This window comes from Homo sapiens, chromosome 2 (assembly GCF_000001405.40).
Source record: "Homo sapiens chromosome 2, GRCh38.p14 Primary Assembly".
Lineage (NCBI taxonomy): Eukaryota > Metazoa > Chordata > Mammalia > Primates > Hominidae > Homo > Homo sapiens.
In genome coordinates this window covers 38,166,143-38,182,306 of record NC_000002.12, presented here as the reverse complement: position 1 = coordinate 38,182,306, position 16,164 = coordinate 38,166,143, and the positions used below count along the sequence as shown (strand labels likewise).

At 41.2% G+C, this 16,164-nt stretch overlaps 2 long non-coding RNA genes across 2 annotated transcripts in view; one reads left to right on the top strand and one right to left on the bottom strand.

Moving 5' to 3' along the window:
- Positions 1-451: 451 nt before the first annotated feature.
- CYP1B1-AS1 (CYP1B1 antisense RNA 1) overlaps positions 452-16,164 on the bottom strand; it is a 50,751-nt gene continuing 35,038 nt past the window's right edge. Inside the window, exon 3 of the long non-coding RNA NR_027252.1 lies at positions 452-2,018. This is a non-coding gene — a long non-coding RNA (CYP1B1 antisense RNA 1). The remainder of the gene's footprint in view (positions 2,019-16,164) is intronic.
- Positions 9,914-16,164, top strand: part of LOC107985871 (uncharacterized) — a 62,078-nt gene continuing 55,827 nt past the window's right edge. The window contains exon 1 of the long non-coding RNA XR_001739413.2: positions 9,914-11,755. This is a non-coding gene — a long non-coding RNA (uncharacterized LOC107985871). The remainder of the gene's footprint in view (positions 11,756-16,164) is intronic.

Sequence of the window (16,164 nt, the reverse complement as noted above, 5' to 3'; positions counted from 1 at the left end):
CTGCCTCTTACTTTAATTTCTCTTTGTCCTTTACTCTCCATGGGGTTTGTATTATATTCCAGTTGTATCTTACACGGTTAGGCTGTAGGCTATTAGCTACACTTCCATATCACTAGACAAGCTCAAGGCATTCAATTCTACCTGTTATTTAATTTTGGACTCTTAGAAATTAGACCTTGATCATAAGTAATGCTTGGAGTCAACCGCTGAAGACCACCTCTTACTTTCAACTTGAACACTCAATTCACCACTCTCCCCAGCCCTCCAGGCAGCAGGCTGGGTGTAATTGTCTATAGCTCATAAATAAGAAAGTCAAGGCCAGCAAGGTTGTGAGGCTTGCCCAGGCTCACGCAGTGATTATAACCATGAGCAGCACTAAAAGCTTTTGACTTTATAAAAGATCAAAACCATTCATGCCCCAAATACATTTTATATAAAAATGATTGACAACTTTTTTATTAAACTGCACTTTATTAGTTGGCATAAAACAGCTTTCAGGCTTTTAAGTGAGTTATGGTCACCTTGGAATGGCTCTGGGTAAAATGCTGACATCGGTGAAGTATGTTTTCAGCTTCTGGGGCTCCTACTTTCATTCCTTACCCTGGGATTGGTCCCCACCTCCGTATTCCCCTGGTAGAGCAGAGTCTCCAGCTGCTCCTACCCTCCCCCTGCCAACCCCACCTTCTGGGTCCCAACTTGGAAACTCTGGCCTCTTGATGCTCCTCAAATCACAGCCTGACTATGGGGGTCCTTTGCCGCTCAAGTCAAAGGTCCAGCTTTTGGTGGATTTCTCAGTCTGGGGCATCTAAGCTCAAAGTTCTTTTAACAGAGAACAAAGCTTTTCATTCCTCAATCAGAGCTAAGATGCAAGCATGTGCTTGGGAGAGGTGACACTTTGATTTAGAGCCACACGAAAAGGTAAGTGACTGATGTCATATCTGCTCTTAAGCTGGTTTTAATGAGCATGGAGAAGGGAGGGCAAGGGCATGAGTATCTGAGGGGGCTGGTACAGAATGGATGTCCCTGAGAGAGTGGAGGAGGGACCTGGGAAGCAGCTTGGGAATGCTCATCTCAGGGCTACTGGCAATGAATGGGCTTAAAAATGCTGCTGACTTCACAACTGCACTGAGTGTGGCCTCCCCACCATGGGCTACCACTTTTCACTTTGATCCTTCTTCCCAAGAATTCTTGGCGTCAGTGTAAACAAATCAAGTCAATTATTTATCACCTGAAAGGGTGTGGGGAAATAGTGAAAATTAGTGCATCCCTTTGAAAAAACCTTGGCCTAGTAATTTAGGCCAAGAGTCATAAAAATGTTCATGCCCTTCGAATCAGTAATCTTTCTTCTGGGAATCTAGCCTAAGGAAAGGATGCCAAATAGAGCAAATGGTATGTAATCTGTTGCACAGTGTAGGGGTACAAATACTAACCTGTTTCCTAGTTAGTCGCTTGAACTTCCAATGCCCTATTAGTAGGAAGTCTAATGATGACTTTTGAGGTTCTGTTCCAACCCTACCTCTGTTGGTCAAGAATACTGGGAGTTTATTTAGTCCAAAGAGGGTCAGAGAAAGAAGATAATGAGATTCATCCACAGCAGATCTCCCAGTTTCCATTTCTATTGCTTCTGCTGCTAGCACCTGCTTCACTACTGAACATGGGCCTGGGCATCCATGGCCACTGGCATACTGGTCACTGCTAGATCCAGCACAGGCTACAAGAGTCCTTTGAAGCCTCAAGCTCAGCTTATTAACAGCCTCCATATGCCAGCTGTGAGGCCTGTGTGGCCATGTTCAGTTGTTCTTCCTAGAGCAAGAACGCTGTGCCAGAGTGGCTGGATCCAGAGTGGCTTCCAGCCTTGGCTGCATAGTGAGTGCAACCATGCCGCATGTTTCATCTGCATCACAGCTGGATACTGTCTTTCTTCATCAGTCTTTGTCTCCAGGGCCATTATCTTTCTCAGCGATGGGATCTCGGGTGGTCATACCAGTACACCCCTCTCAGGTTTCTCTAACTTTGAACTGTGGGAGGAAGCTTTGAATATTAGTTTCTTCTCTCCTATGGCCTTGCTCTTTAGACAACTTAACCATCTCCTTTTAGTCATCAACTTTGCACTATGATGGCTCTCATCAAAGACAATTTTGTGACAATTTTGATAGAATTCTACTTTACCTGAACACCAGAATAATAGACACTTATTTCTCTATTGTTGCATAACTAAGGCAATCACTCAGTGATCTTTTATACAGCAACAAAAACAACAGCAAAAATCAGCTTCTCTACTTTAAAAACAAAAATAAAACATCTATATAGGCATGCAGACATTCATTGAAAATTGTTTATAGAAATAAAATGTGAGAAGACTCCAAAGATACAACATTAGGGGGACTGTAAAGTAAATTAGGATATGTCTACTCAATGATACAGCATGTGCTATTAAAATGATAATTATGAAGATTATGAGAAAACATGGGTGTTTTCTCTCCCACTTTCCAAACTTTTAAAAATTGTCAGTTTAAATTGAATAAAAGATTCTTAAAATTAACTCTTGACATGAAACTGTTGCCAACGGGACTTGCCGATGATTCGTTTGGGAAAGTGAGGGAGAGAGAACTTAAGGATGACTTCTAAATGTTTGCCTTCAATGGGTGAAAATTGCTGCTGTTTACTAGGGAGAACAGAGAGAGGCAAAGATGGACATTGGGAAACCAAGACCTTTGTCTATACTACATTTGAGAAACTTCTTAGACACCCATGTAGTGATATAGAGAAGTCAGTAGGATATAAGAACTTGACCTTAGGGGATAGGTCAGATAAATCAAGATCAGAAATTTTAATTTTGAGAGCCATCGGTATGTAGATGGTATTTAGAGACATGAGACTGAATGAGTCACTTACAAAGAGCTTATAGATGGACAGTACAAGAAGATCTGGGACAGAGCCTGGAGTCATTCCAGGAGAGATCAGAGAAAGAGAAACGAGCAAAAAGGCCTGAGACAATGCAGCCAGTGAGGTCAGAGGAAAAGGGGAGAAAGTGGTGTCATGGAAACTGGGAGAGGAGACAGCTTTAAGAATGAGGAAGTGATCAACTATGTCAAATATTTTCGAAAGTTGAATAAGATGAAGACACAGTGGTGGCCACTGCGTTTGGCAAAAGAGGTTATTCATGACCTTGAAATGAACAGATTCAGGGGCATGGAGAGAAGGAAGTTAACCAGAGTTGGCTGAGCTAAGAAAAGGAGGTGAGGAAGTGGAGCAGTGACTACAGACAATTCTTTGCAGGAAGGCATGCTGTGAAAGAGTTGAGAAATAGGATTGTGTCTGGAGGGAGCAATGATGTGAGAGAATGTTTTTTTTTGGAAAGTAGGCACCAGAACACATCTGCCTTCTCATGGAAATGATCCAGGAGGGAGAGAGAAATTGATCATGTTAGGGAGAGAAGGGTTTATTGCAGGAGGAAAGTCTTTGGGAAGGACAAGGGGATGGTATCCAGAGCACGAGTGGAGAGATTGGTTTTAATGAAATGGACATGCTTGCTCTGCAGATCCCTGGTGTCCATACTAAGAATCTTGGCATACATACCAAGTGCTCAGTAACTCCTTGTTATTACAAATGTCAGTCTCCTTGAGTCACTGAGAGGAATGACTGCTGGCTGGTCCATCTCATTGCTCAAAAGTCAGGCCTTGAATGAGGCATTGGCAATTGATATGGCCCGGACAAAGAAGAAAATGATGTAATGACAGAGAGGTATACCCTTCTCTCCTACAGCCCCGCTCAGACAGGCTATAGTCCTACAAAAGGGGTGTTGATATGATATGCTTAAAAAATGAAAAGATCCCAGTAATTGATGAATAACTGATATGACTGTCTTTAAATTGAGCTCTTCACAGCTCCTGAGAGTGGCCGCCAGGGAAATGGGCAATGTGGAGAAAAACACAACCTCAAAACCTCTGCTATTGTGCAATGAGGATGAAAACCACTCGAACTGCCCAGAAGCAGTCATGTGGTTGAACCCTGAGGAGAAAAGCTCCTAACCAACTTGTTTAGCAACCTAAGAGAACACAAGTTATAGCTGTAGTTCCAGAAAGTGCTGTATTTAAGCTGGGAAGTCACAGCTTTTATCTACATGGAATGTTATTTTTTATCATTAGGCTTCACTGTTGAAACAGAGTAAGCAGATCTTCGTTGGCAAATAGCTCATGAAAAATATGTCTATGTCTTCAAAAGCGTAGTTTAAAAAGAAGAATTTCTACAAAAACCCCGAAATTTTCACTTGATTTCTTAATCAATACAAAACCTAGGTAACCCAATACAAATTTAGAATTAAAACAAATGTGGATCAGGCAGGATTCTTAGTTGCAAACATCAGAAGCCACTTCTAACAGATTCCTGCAGAAAAATAGTTTGTTAAAAGAATAGTGGCATAGTGGAAATAACCCTGATGTCCATTTAAATAAAATACACTGTGATGTAGTGATACCATGAAATCTGACAATGAAAAAAGAACAAAACACCAATACAAACAACAACATGAATATATCCCACAGATGTAATATTGAATCAAAGAATCTATGCAGCATGTATTGAGTATGAACTGTATATTTCCATCTATATAAAGTTCAGAAAAAGGCAAAACAAACCTATGGTGCTGGTCTCAGGATAGTGGTTACATTTCAGTGGTAAGGGTGGTAAAAGGGGCTATAAGGAGGGATTTGGGGTGCTGGCTACATAGGTGTGCTCACTTTGGAAAATTCATTGACCTGAGTACTTTTGATATGTGCTTTTTTTCCTCTATGTATGTCTTCATGAAAGTCACACAGGAGAAATCAACCCGAGAGCTATTAGGTAGGTCAAAATGTCACCCAAGTGCTGGAAATGCAGATTTGGGATGTTAGAGTCAAGCAGGCTTCTCAAATCTGGCATAGAACTTGAGTGAGCACATCTCCGAGCCACACTAGATGCTGTTGTTTGTTCTGTGGACCCTCTGCCTGGGATACACACATATCACAAGCAGACATCCAATTATAAATGCACTTATTTGTTTTCTGTCTCCCCAGCTAGAATGCGAGCTCTCTGCTGGAACACAGTAGGTACTCAACAAATATTTATTGAATGCAGTTGCTTTGTTCATAACTGAGCAGAACTCTCCTTCTCACGAATGCGTTCTTTCTTTAGGTATAGTAATCTCGTCAGTCAGGGTCCAGTCAAATCTTGCTATCCTAGGAACACATTTGTTATTTAAAGTGGTTTCCTGTATTTCTTCTCTGATTCATTCTTAAAAGGCAATCTAATTTCTTGAGGTTCCAAGTTCATAGCACAGGGGTCATCCCATGGTAACCCCTGCATACTCACAACAGGAACATGTAATATACTCATGAACATGCAATTTGACACAAGAATGCACATTGGATGGAGCTGAGGGAATTAGTAAGGAAAATGGTAAACTAAGAGATAGGAATCTGCCCATCAAAGAAGAGTGATGAGGTGATTTCCTTGACCCAGATGAGATTGCACAAACACCATCTGTGTTTATTGCTTCACTTTCCCTCCCATTGACACCATGTCATTCATTTGCAGGGCCTGCTGAAGAATTCAGCAGTGGAATCTTGCCCACCCACTGCACTTTCTGTTGTTTAGAATGGTTTAATAAAGAACTGACTGACTTCTCAGATGGCGAATCTCAGAGGGCGCCTATCCTACCAGCTTTAAGCCTCACCTCACCCTCCAAAACAAGGCCCTAGGCTCTGTGGCCTGTGTTAGCCTCTCAGAGCCTGCTCTGGCCAGCACTGGCGGTGGTACCCTGGGATACTGACCAGGCCTCGGCATTCTTGTCTTATTCTGGGGCAAGAGAAAGTAAAGAGATAATGGGTTGCCCTTCATAATTTTAGTTAGACAGCCAGGAGTGGTGAGGCACACCTGCAGTTCCAGATACTTGGCTGAGGTGAGAGGATCTCATGAGCCCAGAGTTTGAATTCAGCCCGGGGAACATAGCAAGACTCCATCTCTAAAAAAATTAATAATTTTACTTAAATTTTGCTTAGAATCTTCACACTTCTACTAAAGCTGCCTCTCTTCCTCCCAGAGATGGGAAGTCAGAGAATTATTCTACATGACCATTTTGTAAAATTTTGACCTACATTTCTCCATTTCATTCCTGAATGGGAGTAGATAAAAACTCAGAAGTCATCTCTATTCCGAGCTGAGTAAGAAGAAAAGAAACACCTGGGATGATTTTCTTCTGCCACCCTCCCTTGCGTATTTGCCCCTCTATTGCTTGCACGTGATGCCTCAGCTTCTCTTTCTAGCTCCATCTCCCCTCTTTAGCAACCAAACTACATTTCCGATGGCTGGATGGACATTTTCACTGGATCTACTCATGGCATTTCAAAGTCAATATAACTAAAACCATATTAATAATCTTTTAATCGATGCCAAGTCTTTCTTCTGGTTTCTTTATTTAGGTTAGTAACAGTATCATTCTTCTTTTTCACGCAGCCACCAAATCACAGACCTCCGTAGGCTCCTGTTGGTGAAGTCTTGCCTATCCTACCTCTAAGAATTTGATCCCTCTTTTCCATTACTACCTCCAAATTCCTAATTCAGACCCCGGTCACCTACCACCCATTCTAGCTTAAGAAGCTGTCAAGCATAGTGATTAAGGGCAGGTACCTGTGTCTAGATTAAAACACTGCCTCTTCTGCTTTAGCTGTGTGAATTTGAGCAAGTTGTTTAATCACCCTAAGCCTCAATTTTATCATCTGTAAAGTGGGCTAATAACGGTTCTTGCTATCAGAATTAAATCAGATTATGTATATGAAGTAGCATCTGCAAAGCACTCAGTACTGGTAGTGATTAGTACCACCTGTTCTCTCATGACTCCATTTCATTTGACTTACCACCGCTAGGTTTACCTTCAACAAGGCAGCCCTGATCACGTTTTAAAAATCCTCAGTGCCCCCACCCAGTATCAACCTAACACATAACAGTCCCATTTTGGCATTCCAAATTTTCCATAAGTCTTATGACCTCCTACTGCCTTAAATTTACCCTCTGTTCCAGTCAAATGGACCACTTCCCTCTTCCCCACATCCTCTCCACAGTATAGCCTCTGTGCGTTTGCTTACATTATATTTTCTGTTTGATTCACCCTCCCTTTCCTTCAAGGTCTTACTTGAATGGCTGCTCTCTGATGACTAAATGTCTTTTTCTCTTCTTTTATAGTCTCTGCACATAATTGCACCTGTCTAACATGATGACCTGCTTTCTTCCTGGTCCGGCATGTTCATCTTACCTCTCTAGCTGGAGGAACCTTCATTCACCTGGCTTCAAGTCACCACATGTCAGCATTAAGGCTGAAACGTTCAAGCAGTCATTTCCCCTCCTGCCAACAAGATACTAAAAAACCAATTTGAGCAAATTCTCCACTAAGCCACTTGGCTAGATCAATGTTTGATACACAAGGTCTTGCTCAAACAACAGCCAAAGCTGGAAAAAAATTGTGGCTATGAGACACGGAAAGGATCTAATTATTCTTCCTTAAGCAATGTTCTTAACCGCAGCCTGTTTCCCAGCTTCTGAGCACTCTGCTTGAGTGATTAGCAATGCAAGATTGCACATTGGCCTTACCTCATACAGGATGAGGTAGTTCAATCCAAATTTCTCAAATAGTTTTTAACTTTTTTCTTCCCAGTATGTCTGTAAGAGCTGGAAAATCATTCAATAGTTTTTAAAGAAAATTTGTGCCTTTAGCAGCAACTGGATGCAAACATCAGTTCTCATTTAAAAAAAAAATTTCAGCTTTATTGGGGCATAACTGACAAATAGAAATTGCATGTATTTAAGGTATATGACTTGATGTTTTGATATATGTATACATTGGAAAATGATCACCACAATCAAACTAGTTGACTTACCCATCACCTCACATAGCTGCCTCTTTTCTTTTGTGGTGAGAACACTTAAGATCTACCCTTGTAGCAAATTTCAAGTCTACAATACGGTATTGTTAACTGTCGTTACTATGCTGTATATTAGGTCTCCAGAACTAACTCCTCTTGCATGGCTGAAGCTTTGTACCCTTTGACCAACATCTCCTCATTTCCTGTATACCCCAGCCCTGACAACCACCATTCTACTCTCTGCTTCTAGGAGAGTAACTATTTTAGATTCCACATATACAAAAGATCAGGCAGTATTTGTCTTGCTGTGACTGGTTTATCTCACTTAGCATAATGTTCTCCAGGTTTGTCCATGTTGTCACAAATGGAAGGATTTCCGTTTTCAAATATCAGTTCTCTTCAAACCGTTTGAGTACCCTGAGAAAGTTTTTGGTTTCCAGTGGCTGCTCCTTTCAGAAACTATGCTACTTTCTAAAATCTCATTTAGGAGTAGCAATACTTTACTCCAGACACTGGCCCCAGACCAGTGTGGGAGGAAAGCCGTGAATCCTTAAAGAAAGTGATGCTTTAAAAGTCTGAGGTTAAATTCCATTTTGAAAAGTTTTAGCACAACTTCCCTTCTCCCCAGAGCTGAACCTCACTTCGTGCTATTTTTTACTCAGTTCAAGAGTGTTTTTTTTTTTTAAATAACTTGTCTCCTTATGAATTTTAAATAAGTTAATTAATAGGATATTGCTAGTTTAAATCATAATATAAATTCAGAAAATATTTTATAAATGGACCTATGCCATTTGGACTTAAAAAAATTATAAAGGCTTGAAACATTTGTGTGCATAATCCTGTTTTTATAATTTCAGTATTTTGCATTGAAATATACCTCACACTACACAGCTGACCTGGCAGTTCTATGAATGGCATTCAAAAAAGTCAGTCTTGTTTCATGAATTTATCTGTCAGCAAAATGCCTCTTTTATTATTGTTTTAAAATATATTTATCGGATTCACTTTTGCCTTTTCTTATGACGTTTGAAGATATTTGCATTTGCTTTTCTCTTTCTCCCTTTTTTTTTTTTTTTTTTTGAGACAAGTTCTCGCTCTGTCACCCAGGCTGGAGTGCAGTGGCGCCATCTCAGCTCATTGCAACCTCCGGCTCCTGGGTTCAAGAGATTCTCTGGGACTTCAGGTGTGTGGAAACTTGCCTGGATAATTTTTGCATTTTTAATAGAGATGGGGTTTCACCATGTTGGCCAGGCTGGTCTCGAACTCCTGGCCTCAAGTGATCTGCCTGCCTTGGCCTCCCAAAGTGTTGGGATTACAGGCATGATCCACCACCCCAGTCCTTCTTTTTCTCTTTTGAAAAGAAGTTTTAAAATTCTTTAAAAAGTTTTTCAAGGAAAATTTTCCCAGGAAATAGGAAAAATTTCAACCATACACAAAAATAGAGAATATAGTACTGGACTTCAAACATCAATCACTTAAATTCCAGAATTATCAGTATTTTCCTACTTTTACTTCTGTACATTTTTCCTTCCTTCCTCCTTTATTTTGGCTGATGTATGATAACCGAATCCCAGAATTGTGTCATTTTAGCTTTCTGTATCTAAGTGTTGATTGCTAAAAATAGTGGTGTTTTCTTACATAAACACAATACCATTAATCACACCTATCAAAACTAATAATATGTTATTGGTATCATCTAATACACTATCCAAATTCAGATTTCCCTCATTGTCTTCAAAGTGTTGCATTGACGATGGTTTGAGGCCAGGTGTGGTGGCTCATGCCTGTAATCCCAGCACTTTGGGAGGCCGAGGCAGGCAGATCACTTTTGAGCTCAGAAGTTTGAGACCAGCCCAGGCAACATGGTGAAACTCCGTCTCTACAAAAAATACAAAAATTAGCCAGGCACGGTGTTGAGTGCCTGTAGTACAAGCTACTGGGGGAGGTTGACGTGGGAGAATCACTTGAGCCCAGGAGGTTGAGGCTGCAGTGAGTTGTCATTGCACCACTCCATTCAGCCTGGGCAACAGAGAGAGATGCTATCTGAAAGAAGAAGGAAGGAGGCAGGAGGAAGGAGAAGGAGAAGAAGAAAAGTTGGTTTGCTCAAATCAGAATCTAAGCAAGGTCCATGCAGTGCATTGAATTGTCCAGGGATGGAGAAGAGGCTGAAGAAGAGGCTTAGGTAAGCAAGAGCATCAGTGCAGGGGAAGTTCAGGAAACACTGAGCTGGAGGAAAGGATAGAAGCATTACTTGAATAATGATCTTTGAGAGGTGCAAGTCATGATTGGAACAATTTTAGCTATTATTTAGCTACTAGATATTGCCTCTTTAAACATAATTCCATGCATAGACTGAAACTTGGAGGATCCCAAGATTTGTTCTATTTAGAGACCTGACTTCCAGAACTATTCTACCTCCTCCATCACTTCTTACTCCAGTAAATATCATGGAACACCCTTCTCAGGTTGAAAAGAAATTTAGAGACTTCCAGAGTAGGCATTGTCACAGCTTTTGCTGGCAATCCATTACAAAATTAGCTGTCCCTATTTTCAGAGGAGTGTTGTGTGAGATCTCAATTCCTTTACCTAGTATTCTGTTCCCAGCAAAGTAGATGTTGTGTTTGATGGTTCTGAATGTATTCTGTGTTGATATTAAGGCTTCTGGGTTTGCTAATCATATGAGAATATATGTCAGCAACTCTGGTGTTAATAATTTAGCCTACAAAAATCAATTCTAACGCAATCTTGGAATATTGTGCAACCCACCTGTTCATTAATATTTCACCATCTGTAGATCCTAGTGAAAGATGGGTCAAATTCAAATATATTTTCTTTGGCTCTGGAGACAAAAATAATTGGCAATCAACAGTGGTAGGGACAGCTTCTGTCAATGCACAGTAGGAGTCATGGAAGAACCCTCAGCTCCCTCCTACAGCTCTTCCCAGCAGACTTCAAACACATTTTTTCATCCAACAGGGAGCCCTTTAGGCTTCTATTCACCAACCCAGTGGGATCTCCAATTGCTGGAAATTTCATAAAGCAAAATTCCCCAGGGAGTTTCAACAAAGGTACTTGGGAAGCCAAAACCCCACTAGCTCTTTGGCCCAACTCAAAAACACAGCTGCAGAATAGCTTCCCACACTCTGTGCTCCTAGCCACTTGAGATTTAGCAGCTGTATTGTTCTCCTTGGTGTCAACTCCTGTCCATTGCAGGGGACTCTTGAAAGGAAGGGTGGTCTAAATGGAGGTAGGACTAGGAAGAAAAATGTCATACTCATTATCATCATCAGGCCACACATTTCTATAGGACTCTATGGTTGTACATGATGTTTATGAACATGGTATTCTTGATCCTCATGTTGACCTTGTAAAGTAGGAAATGCAAGAAATCTTTTACTCTGTTTTGTACACAAGCAGACTGAGGCTTACTGCAGTTAAGTGCCTAGTCCAATGTCCTACACTTGGCAGAGCTAGAACCAAAATGTTGGTCTTTGCCCTCTAGTTCAGTGCTTTGTTCTTTCCCCCAAATGGCTGCAGTATATGTTTTGCCTCATAGACAGTCTTTGATTTGGCTTCTTAACTAGTGGATGCAGCTCACTTGTATACAAAATAGGTATTCCTCAGTCTTTGGGGAGCCTAGGTGGACCTGGGGTGGCCCAGGCCAGCAATCTCTGCCTCAAATGACCTAGTCTATTTACCGTAGTGCCGTAAAATTGTCACTTTCTTTGTGTATAATAACATGAAAAATGATGGAAACCACTATTTTAAAGGAAAGTTTAAATATGTCCCCTCTTTCTACAGTGCTTAATATCTGAAAGCCAATTAATATGCCTGACCTTGAAAAGTCACGTCTATCAACCGTAAGTAGAAAATGAAATTTAATTTGCCATTTTTTAGTGAGCTTTTAAATTGTACATCTCCCCATAGCCTCTCATAACATGCAGTGTGGATTAAAGTGCTATTTGAATACCTCTTTTTTCAAAACTTTATGGTCAGTCACTATAAAAGAACTTCTTGTTCCTTTTTCTTCTGTCCTCCAATGGAATGACTAACCTCCATCTCCCTGACCCCCCCATATATTTAGGCCAGATTCCCTGACCTAACCTCTACTGCGTGGTATTTAGTTCTGAAACAAAATAAGTCAGTCTCTTTGCGTGAAGAAATTTCTTTGTTTATACTTCAAATTGGATTAGCTCACGTCATTACTCTCACTTGGGCTATTATGAAAATTTTTCTTCTCTTCATGGGTTTGGTTTTTATTAGGTTTTCAATTCTGCTATTCTTGGTTCAGATCCAAAAGCCAATTAATGGAAACATGCCCACAGGCAAAATTAATATGTTCATTTTAACATCCATCAATTCCTTCTCTCATTCCCTATTCCAGTCTTTTCTCTTAACGTACATTTGAGCACGCCTCAGGAACCTGTACCCAAAGCCTCATACATTCTCTGTCTTCACTCAGCTCTCATATCAAGAAGGTCAATTCACACTGAGTTATAGGAATGTGACTTTATGTTGACACCTAGTTTACTATTTACAAAGCTGTTTCTCATGCATAGATGAGATTCTGGGTGTTGGGGTGCATATTAGGGAAGAAATGCTTTTGGGTTCATCTGTCCCACACAGTGTCCGGGCAACACTTTTGCATGAGGCCATCCAATGATCCATGGGAAGAATGCTGTAGTCTTTAGGAACCTTCACCTCCAAGTGACAGAAAATGAACCCAACTGCTTAAAGAGAAAGACAATGCATTTTCTCATGTAACTGAAAAGTCCACTGGTACACTTGAGTCATGGCTGAATCCAAAGTCTTCCCATGACAGTTCTCAGGCCTTAGGACTCTAACGGAATGACACCTATCCTGGGTCTCCAGCTTGCAGTGGCATATTGTGGGACTTCTTGGCTTCTGTAATTGCATGAGTTAATTCACATAACAATCTCCATATATATATATATACACACACACACATATATATATACACACACATATAAAAAATATATATACATATATATAGAAATATATATATATTTCTCTGTTTCTCTGGAGAACCCTAACACAAGACATTTAGTAGACCAACCCCCTTTCAATGTCTTCTTTACCACAAAAATTCTTCTGACTCAACCTCTAGAGAACTTGTTCTGTTTGTGGTTAGGGAAACAAGTTCAGAGAAGCACAGGGAGGAGAAAATGGGGTACCTGTGAGAGATCTGGAAGCTTAACTTTTATGTTCATAATACAAGGGCACCATAGAAAGACTAGAACACAAAGACACCATGTTTGAGATCTAATTAATGAGCAGAGAGGCTGGTTGGCAAAGGTCTCTCCCATCACAGACAGAATAGGACCAGGACTGTAAGAGTGATAAGGTCAAGAAAGTAGTGACAGAAACTGTGATGAAAACACAGAAACATGGCAAAGGGTTTCTCCAGACTCACTGCAACGTCAGCCCAGGTCAGAGCAGCAGCAGCAGCTAATGCAATAAAGCACAGCAGGTGCAGTGTGCAGTTCTGAATCCAGACACACCCTGAATCATATCCTTACACGTCCTAATTGTGTAATCTTCAGCGCATTTCTTCCTCTGTTAAGTACGGATGGTGATATCTTGTCCCCCTCTGTGGGTTGTGTGAAGACTGAGAAAGATTTCATATGTAAGGGGCTTAGCAACACACTGATTAAGCGGTAGGTGGTAGGAATGAGATATTAATGTCTCTGACGTTCCCATTTTAAGTTCTAAGAGGCTGTTTCACTTGGGAAATGTCTGGAAATCTGGGTAGAACTATTTGAGTGGTTCTTTTGGGGCTTGCAGTTTTCAGGCAAGTATCCACCCACTGGAGGGCATTTTTGATTTGAGGCATGGATGCTATTGTTGTATGTTGTCAGGCTGTGTTCTTCCCCCCATCCTCACCACATATCTATTTGCAGACATAAGCTCACATAAGGAGAAAGGATCTTGATGGATTTGCAGTTCTGATTTATTTAACTATCTGATGGTCAAATCTGGTCCTAACTAAGGCCATGTGGCAGGGCAGGACTACTGACCATTAGGGAAGGGGAACATGTACTGGTGACCCCCAACTCGATATCAGGGTCCACCAGCCCATTGCAAATGATGCACCTTACATAAAACATGTGTGTGTGGTGTGTGTTGAAAGAACCTAACACTAGGAGCCATAACACTCCAGACTTAGACAGTTTTATTGTCAGCATCTGGGACCTGGCCTAGAACAGAAGAAAGAATGATTGTTCCTCACATCTCAAGGAAGCAGCAACAAGATGGGGCTGGAGCCAGCAGAAATGGGGGACATTTGACATGACTATAAATGGGGTCAAAATAGTCAAACAGGAACTGGCTTGGTCTCAAATCTCGTGTTATTCTTCTGCCTTTAGCAACTGGGGTCAGATTTAACATTTCTTTTAAAAAGGTCACAGTGAACTTTTTTATTGTTGTTGTTGAGTTGGAGTCTTGTTCTGTTGCCCAGGCTGGAGTGCAACGGCACGATCTTGGCTCACTGCAACCTCTGCCTCCTGGGTTCAAGCGATTCTCCTGCCTCAGCCTCCCAAGTAGGTGGGATTACAGACATGCGCCCCCGTGCCCCGCTAATTTTTTTTGTATTTTTAGTAGAGCTGGGGTTTCACCATGCTGGTCTTGAACTCCTGACCTCGTGACCCACCCACCTTGGCCTCCCAAAGTGCTGAGATTACAGACGTGAGCCACCGCGCCCAGCCAGTCCCATTGAACTTTATCTACCCAAAGGCAAATTTGGGGGTTATTCTTCCATGACATTTAATAGTCCTAGGACAAAAGACTTTTCTGAATCTCTAACTTCAGTGGTGACATATTAACAGTCATTACCAGTTATGAAAACAGGCTCGAGGACTGTCGACAGTAATTAACTTTCCCAGCGCTGCGCTGGCACTGCTACTGGCAAATAATGTTAGCCACTGAGACATCTGCTAATTAGAAGGCAATGGTTTCCAACTTTCCATTGCTTCTGTGACCCATGCATGCCATATAAATGAAAAGTTGGAAAAGAATAAAAGCTGAAATTCCTATGCTGGAACAATATTTAGAAACCTCAGGGAAGAATCAAGATAAAAAGCCAACTTGATGCTGGTCCAAGGATCTTCCTCTTGGAAATATACACCAATAGGTCTAGAGCTTTCTCCACTGCTCTTTACTCCCAGAGTGCCGAGTCAGTGGTAGCCAGGGATTAAGTGGAGAAAAGAACTGGATTGGATTGAATCTTGTCCTTTCTCCCTTTATTATTCTTGCCCTGACCCCCACAACCTCAAACTTTTGAACTAGGGGATAGGAGGAAAGCTAAAAGCCAAGAGCAGAGGTTTATGGGAGAATTTAGGAAAATATTCTGAATCCATGGTTCTCAAGCTTGGCTGCACATTAGAGTCAACTGGGAGCTTTAAAAAACACTGAAGCCTGGGTCCTAGTTCAGAAGATTCTGATATCAATGGCATGGGGTGTGGCACTGCGATTTTAGAAATCTCACTAAGGGTGCAGCCAAGGTTGAAAACATTAAGTTTCTTGCATTTAACCCGAAAGTGAGGGGATTAATTTGTGGTTTCCTCTTAACTAGCAAGATTTCATAATGGTAGTGTTTCTTAGCTTTAGATGAATATTAGAATTACCTAGGCAGGTTTTAAAACATGCAAGGCTAGGGCTTCACTGTAGTTGAAACTGAGGATCTCTGACAGTAGGGCTTGAACAATGGCATTTTTAAACATTAATTCTCATATGAGCCAGGGTTGAGTGCTACTGCTAAGGCAGAGGTTCTAAACTTTTAGTGTGCATGAGAATCACCTGGCGAGACTATTAAAAATGTATATTCTTGCATCCTACTCCCTGAGAGTGGGGCCTGAGAATTTTATTTTTAACAGACAACACAGGTCATTTTGGTGAAGGTGGTCATTAAGACCATTCTCATCCATCATTCTGATTGCTTTCTTGTGCTGACCAAGATGCAGTTTGCTCAACACAAATGCAACCCTGCCAACTGGTCTTTGGTGATCCTCAATTGAAGGGACAGGAAAATGAGGCAGTACCACCCTCCTAGGTGGCATTTGAAAATATCCTCGCTTGTTTTCTAATAATCATGCCTGGAGATGCCACAGATATTTAGTGAGCAAAGGCCAGGTATTCCAAAGAGTCAGTCCTGCAAACAAGAATCGTCTTGCCCAAAATTTTAATAGTGTTGCCAGTGAGAGACCCCAGAAGGTGGAAAAGTTTGAATTGTGTGTGATCTAAGGTATCAAGG